The sequence below is a fragment of the Homo sapiens genome, chromosome 6, assembly GCF_000001405.40.
Source record: "Homo sapiens chromosome 6, GRCh38.p14 Primary Assembly".
Classification (NCBI taxonomy): Eukaryota; Metazoa; Chordata; class Mammalia; order Primates; family Hominidae; genus Homo; species Homo sapiens.
The window spans coordinates 26,688,824-26,696,912 of NC_000006.12; positions in this window are offsets into that span (position 1 = coordinate 26,688,824).

Below are 8,089 nucleotides of genomic sequence, written 5' to 3' on the forward strand. Positions count from 1 at the left end.
AAGTGCTATCAACCACATTTAGAAATTTTATTTAATCTGCACATCTTTATTTGGTAGAAAGTTTTACAAATAAAATTTAACACAAAACAATTTTTTTGAAAAACCATGTTGACTTAAGCAGAGCCAATGATGCAAAGCATAATGTATCAGAAGATTCCTGATTCAACTGCTAGCTTGAAGTCGCCCCCTCCTTGTGTTCTGGAAAGATGGGGTGTTGTTTATCATCCACATATCAAAAAGTAAACAGAAAGCAGTATTTCCGAAACCTTTTCTTTATAAGGAGATCTTCATAAAACTTGCATTATTACCCTTGTTGGATCATAACACACCTGAGAAAGATTGGGTGGAGGAAGGTGAAGAAGGCTGGAAAAGATTTACAAGGGAATAAATCAAGAATCTGGTACAAATTGACTAATGGTATCTTCTGCATCAGCCCATTTCGAGTGAAAAGTCCCCCGTTTTAGAACTTTTGGCTCTTTGTTTTAATGCTCCCTCCTGAGAATTAACAAAAATTTTGATTACTCTGGGCACGCTACCTGATTAGCCCTGCTCCGCAAGGAGCAGTTATATATATATAATCACACACTCACACACACACATTTTTCAGGGAATCCTGCCTAATTTCTTCCGAAGTTCAGCTGTCTCAGTTCACACCAAACAAGTTACACGATTTCATAACGGATAGAGGACAGAAGCTTAAGGAGGGAGGGCCGAATGCACCGGGAACCCTAGTCAAGTGTAGGAAATCATCACGAGCGAGGCGAAGCAGGTCGTGGGAGACGAGACCTTCACTCAGGAACGGGGACGATGTGAATCGTGTTTCTATCGAGTGGCTGGGGGACCGGGTTGGGATCAGCCAGGAGGAGGTAGCCGCACAAGGCTTAGCTGGGTCTCCCGCGCAGACATCTCCTGGACAGCGACCCAGCGCCGCGCAGGCGCTCACGGCCCGGCTCCAGGGCTGCGGGTGGCGAGTCCCTGCCTGCCCGGAGCTCGCCCTCGGGGAAGGACGGACGCCTCGCGACGGCCGCGGACGCACCAGCGCAAGTGGTTCCTTGGAATCTCCCCATGTAATTCCACATGAGATTAAATTTTTAAAGCGCCTCATACTCGTGACCCATGGGTCAATGCCATCTAGCAACCATTCAGTGGCTGAATCCTCAGACAGGCACTCAGCATCCCCAGAGCCTAGGGGCATGCCATATGCCCCCACATAAAGATTTGTTGAATGAATGAAGGTGTCTAACTCCATTGTCTTGCCCTATTAAAGATGTATACTTTCTCTGCCTAGACCATTATGGTAATACCCTGACCTTCCTCATGATCTTTGCACTCAATTCTCAACTCTGTGCCCTATTGGAATGGTACTGAAATGCAAATTCAGTTACAGTCTCTCCTAAATTCATTTACCAGCAAACTTTGCTTACAGTGCTTAAACATTTTATCCTGACATTCAAAGCCCTTCCTAAAAAGCTGGCCTCTCTCGCAGCTTTACTCCTGGAATTCAATCCTATGCACACTCTCAGAAAACAAAATCATTGTTAATTCACCTTCAAAACCTGTTGTTTTATTCTTCTGAGACTTTGCAAATACCTTTGAGCAAGGCATCTTGATAGCTCCTCATTTTTAAATGTAACTGTGGATACCACCTTGAGTGGAGATGGAAAGAAAAGGGAAGCTGAAGGATAATGGATTGTAAAAATTCATGCTTTCTCATTCTTGTCTGGTTTGATAATCAGTGCCTAGAAAGGAGTCAAAGAAGGTTTTCTTTATATATGTTCTAAATAACACAAAACCTAGCTCCGCATTAAAGCCTTAGAATTAGTTTCTGGGATTAATTAAAAAAGCAGTCGACTTCAGACTGTCATATTCAGATTCCCACAGATGTTGCAGCCACAAGGCAGAATACTAACCACTATAGGATCATGACAGGCCACTGGGAAAAGCTGATGACTTCTACTTATTACAAATTTGTCATGCCAATTGCCTTTTCATCAAACCAGTAAGAGCTCAAAAGGGCATACTTTATGATTACAAAGTGGAAATAACTTTGCAAAATCTTCATGGGTAGACGAATCTTGCTTATTTTCACCTGTGGCTAATTATCTTGCTCATTCCAGAAAACCAGAAAGGCTCACAGCTTGCCATCTTATCTTGGTTTAAGAATTCTTTTTGAACTTACCCTGTGAAAGAAAACACACAGAAGAAAGCTTTCCCTCTGCATGTCACTGATTTCTGAACAGGAAAATACAAGAAAAGTATTATCATAACTGTAGACACTGGGTATAAACTGGGGGATCTAGATTGTCAGCTTTTCAAGAAGCTTATATTCTAGGGGAGAGATAGAAAATAAAACAATAATTTAATATGTTTTCCAATTTATTAAAAATTTTATTTAAAAGATGGAGAGAGAGACAGGACATTGATTCAGCTGGAGAGGTCAAAGAAGGGCTCTCTGAGACAGTGACATTTGAGTTGTGGCCTCAGTGTTGAAAATGAGTCCACTCTTCTGGGTCTGGAGCAAAAGTGGCGGAGTTCAGAGGCTGACAGCTGGGGTCTGGGCCTCTGTGGGCAGCCAGAAGATGAGCCAATAGAGTACCCCACTTACCAGACTGACGGCAGAGCCAAATATGAAAATGTTCTTTTTTCTCAAGCCTCGAGACTGCACACCAAAGTCCCAAGCAATCAAGGAAACTCCATTTCCAGTTCCTTGGTGTCTCTAAGGCATAGGCTCAAAGTGAAGCAGACTTTTCCCTGAGGTGAAATGCAGAGACAGTCCCACTGCTCAGCTCAGTGTGGATCATGACCTTCCTGCCCTTCCCTTCTAGCTCACCCTCACCAGATTCTGAGGACTGATGAGGAAGGAATTGCTTTACAGCATTTTCTGCTGAGCATTTATTGCATGATTAGGTCAATCTCCAGCTCACTGTGCACTTACAGAAAAAAAATCTACCAGGTTTCATGTGTGACCTTGAAAAATGTCCTCATTTCTTCTGTTTGTAATTTAGTAGGTTATCCAGAGGAATTTTCCCTGGATGTTATCACATTACACAGTAGACAGAGTACTGCAAAGGTGAGGCCCAAGGCAGATGGAAATAACCACAGTTAACTGCCTGCTGCCACATACACCGTATTCCTGATCTGCCTGTGAGACTTTTTTCTAAGGATTTAGTTTATGCCAAATGTTTCATTCCCTGACTCTGGCTTTCTCTCTGTCTGTCATCTCCAGTGTCAGATACCAGCCTTTCTTATTTTTGAGGCTAAATCTCCACATAAATCTCAGTCTCAATTAGCAAAAAGCTCTTCCCATCACCACTAAAATAACCTTATTTTGGGCCCAGAGTATGGGGAATGGATGTCTGCTCCAACCCTCTGTAATGCAGCCTGCGTTCTCTTGGTTTTCTTTACCTTTTACAGTCCTTTACTTGGAGTGTTAGTGAAATAATTGCCAAGCCCAACCTGTACATGCCCAATGAAGAAAGAACCAAAAACCCCAACATCCATTACTATCTACATTTGAACCTCTGAATAAGTGGAATAGTTCTTCTATTTATCAGACATTAATTCAGAATCTCTTTTGTGTCTGCCACCCAGGTTCAAAACTCCCAATTGCCCTTGACTTCTCCTCCCTCAAATCTTTATACTTAGGGTTTTTATAGATACTGTAGAGCCTTCTTATACAACCTCTCCAGAATATTCTTTTCTCATTTGTCTGTTCTTTCATCCATTCTACAACATTTATTTAGAGTGTATTTTGAATTAGGCGCTGATGATGAAGAAAGACTCATGCTGTTGACCTCAGGACCTGACAGAATAAATGAGGATGAACCTGGATCCTTAATTTTTTTAATAATTTATTTCGCTTTCTCTCCAATTCCAACCTCTTTAAACTTCACAACTAAAATCCTCTTCCTAAAATGTTGCTTCGATTACATAAGCCACCCGCCTGGAGTTAATCCTCTCCTCAATATATCTGCAAATGTCTAGGCTTTCCCAACACTATTTCCATCAATACGCATTTTACAAACATACACACACACACCCACCAATTAAATAGGTATGTCCCACAATACACACTGAAAGATTTCTATACCATCACTGTTCTTTCTGTCCTGTGTGCCATCTTCATCTTCATTTCTCAGCTATATCTATTTTTATTTCTTCTCTTTAATATGGCCTTGCCCCTTGCCACCTTTCTGTAATACATTTCTGGTTTTTTGCTATTCACTTATATGGTATGGTTATGTGACTACATATGAAATACATAAACAGGGATTGAAATTTAAGTTGTTATAAGTTTAAAATAGCCGGTTATAATTATATAATTATAAAATGTTTTAGGTAAACCTCACGATAACCACGAGACAAAAACCTATAGTAAATCCACAAAAGATAAAGAGAAACAAATAACAGCATACTACCACAGAAAATAATTGAATCACCAATCAAAACAGCAAGAGAGGAAGAAAGGAACAAAAAACCCTAAAAAACAACCAGAAAATACTTAACAAAATGTCAATACTATGTCCTTAACTGCCAATAATTGCCGTCATGTAAATGGATTAAATTCTTCAATACAAAGATATAGAATGGCTAACTGGATTATTAAAAATATATCCCAAAAAAGACCCAACTGTATGCTGCCTACAAGAAATTCACCTCACCTTTAAGGACACACAGATTGAAAGTGAAGAGATGGGAAAAGACATTCTGTGCAAATGGAAATGAAAAGAGAGCAGATATACTTATATCAGATAAAGTAGACTTAAAGTCAAAAATTGTGAAAAGAGAGAAAGGGGTCTTTATATTATGATAAAAAGGTCAATTCATCAACAGGATATAACAATTATCAATTTATATGCACCCAACATTAGAGCACCTAAATATAGAAAGCAAATATTCATAGATCTAAAGAAAGAGATAGACTGCAATAGAATAATATGAGGGGACTTCAGTCCCCCACTTTCAACTATGAACAGATCATCCAGAGAGAAAATCAATAGAAAATATTGGACTTGATATATACGTTAGACTAAATGGACCTAACAGACATATACAGAATATTCCACCCAACAACAGTAGAATGTCACTTCTATTTAACATGGTGCTGGAAGTCCTAGCCAGAATACACATTCTGGTCAGGTGCACATGAAACACTCTCCAGGACAGGCCATAGATAAGGCCACAACATGAGTCTTAACAAATTTGAGAAGACTGAAATCATATCAAGTATCCTTTCTGGCCACAATGGCATGAAACAAGAAATCAACAACAGGAGGAATTTTTGAAAATTCACAACTATGTGGAAATTAAACAACATGCTCCTGAACAACCAATGGGTCAAAGAAGAAATCATAAGGGAAATTGAAAAATTACTTTGGGACAAATGAAAATGGAAATACAATATACCAAAACTTACAGGATACAAGAGCAGTTCTAAGAGAGTTTTCATCAAAAAAGATGAAAGATCACAAATAGACTACCTAGCATCCATTACACCTCAAGGACTGGAAAAACAATCAACTAAGCTAGTTACAAAGTTAGTAGGAAGACGGAAATGATAAAGATCAGAAGAAGTAAACAGAAGATAGAAAAAATAAAGAGACCAACCAAACTAAGAATTTTTTTTAAAGGTAAATAAAATTTACAAACCTTTAGCTAGACTGATTAAGAAAAAAAATGCAAAGACTCAAATAAAATCAGAAATGTAATCAGAAATGAATTGAAGAGGTAACGACTGTTACCACAGAAATACAAAGGATTATTTAAAAACTACTATGAACAATTATATGCCAACAAATTGGATAACCTAAAAACTGGATAAATTCCTAGACACATGCAACTTGCAAGACAGAATCAGAAACTCTGAACAGAGCAAAAACAAGTAAGGAGATTAAATCAGTGATAAATCTACCATCAGAGAAAAGCCTAGGACCTGACAACTTCACTGCTGAATTTGATGAAACATTTAAAGAGGAAATACCAGTTCTTCTCGATCTCTTTCAAAAAACTGAAGTAGAGGAAATACTCCCAAACACATTTCACAAGGCCAGCATTACCGTGAACCCATTGCCTGAGGAGAGCACTACAAAGAAAAAAAAATTACAAACCAATATCCCTGATGAACATGTATGCAAATATACTCAACAAAATACTAGCGAATTGAATTCAACAGCACATTTAAACAATTATTTACCATGATCAAGCAGGATTTATCACAGGGATACAAAGATGGTTCAACTTATACAAATCTGTAAATGTGTGATCCACCGTATTAACAGAATGAAAGACAAAAACCATCTCATCATCTCAATAGATGCAGAGAAAGCATTTGACAAAATTTAACATTCCTTCATGATTAAAAACTCTCAAAAATTAGGTATAGAAGGAATGTACCTTAACACAATAGAGGCCTTTATAGGACAAACCCACATCTAACATCATACTCAGTGGGGAAAAAAATTGAAAGCTTTCCTTTTAAGATCAGGAATAAGACAAGGATATCCACTCTTGCCACTTCTATTTAACATAGTACTGGAAGTCCTAGCCAGAGCAATTAGGCAAGAGAAAGAAATAAAAGACATCCAAATTAGAAAGGAAGAAGTTAAATTGTCCCTGTTTGTAGATGACATAATCCTATATATAGAAAACCCTAAAAAACTCACCAAAAATCAAAACTGTTAGAAATAAAAAACAATTTCAGTACAGTTGCAGAATACAAAACAACATACAAAAATCAACATACAAAAGCTAGCATTTCTATACACTAATGGCAACCTAACCAAAATAAAAAATTTTAAAGATCCCATTTACAGTAGCTACAAAAAATACTTAGAAATAAATTTAACCAAGGAGGTGAAAGGTCTGTATACTGAAAACTATTAAACACTGATGAAAGAAATTGAGGAAGACACAAATGGAAAGATATCCTGTGTTTATAGATTGGAAGAATTAATATTATTAAAACATCCATACCCCCCCAAAGTGATCTACAGATTCAGCGCAATCTCTATCAAAATCCCAATGACATTTTTCACAGAAATAGAAAAAAAAAACCCTTAAAATTCATATGGAAGCACAAAAGGCCCCAAATAGCCAAAGCAATCTTGAGCAAAAACAAAACTGGAGGCATCATACTACCTGACTTTAAAAATATACTACAAATATATAGCAATCAAAACAGCATAGTACTGGTGGAAAAACAGACATATAAACCAGTGGAACAGAATAGAGAGGGCAGAAATAAATCCACACATTTATAGTCAATTAATTTTTGACAGATGTGCCTAGACACATAATGAGGAAAGGATAGTCTCTTCAATAAATGGTGTTGGGACAACTGGATATCTACATGCAGAAAAATGATAGGAGGCCCTTATCTCATACCACATACAAAAATCAACTAAAAATTGATTGAAGACAAACATAAGATGTGAGACTCTAAAACTTCTAGAAGAAAACATATGGGGAATGCTCCATAACATTGGTCTGTGCAATGATTTTTTGGATATGAACCCCCCCAAAAGCAAAAAGACAAAAATAGATAAATAAGATTACATGAAACTAAAGAACTTCTGCACAGCCCCCCCCAAAAAAAATCAACAGTGAAGAGACAACCGATAGATTGGGAGAAAATATTTGCAAACCATACTTCTGTAAGTGGTTGATATAAAAAATACATCAGGAACTCAACTCAATAGCAAGAAAACAAATAACCCAATTAAAACATGGAGAAAGGACCTTAATAGACATTTCTCAAAGGAAGACACATTGCCAACAGGCATATGAAAACTTGCTTAATGTCATTTATCATCAGGCACATGCAAATCAAAACCACACCTGTTAAAATGGCTGCTATCAAAAAGGCAAAAGATAACAGGTGTTGGCAAGAATGTGGAGAAAAGAGAATCCTTGTACGTTGTTGGTAGGAATGTAAATTAGTGCAGCTGTTTTGTACAGCAGTTCCTCAAAAAACTAAAAAGAGCACTATCATATGATCCAGCAATCCCACTTCTGGGTATATGTTCAAAAATCGGGCTATTGAAGAGATACCTGCACTCTCATGTTCATTGCAGAATTACTACTAAAGTAG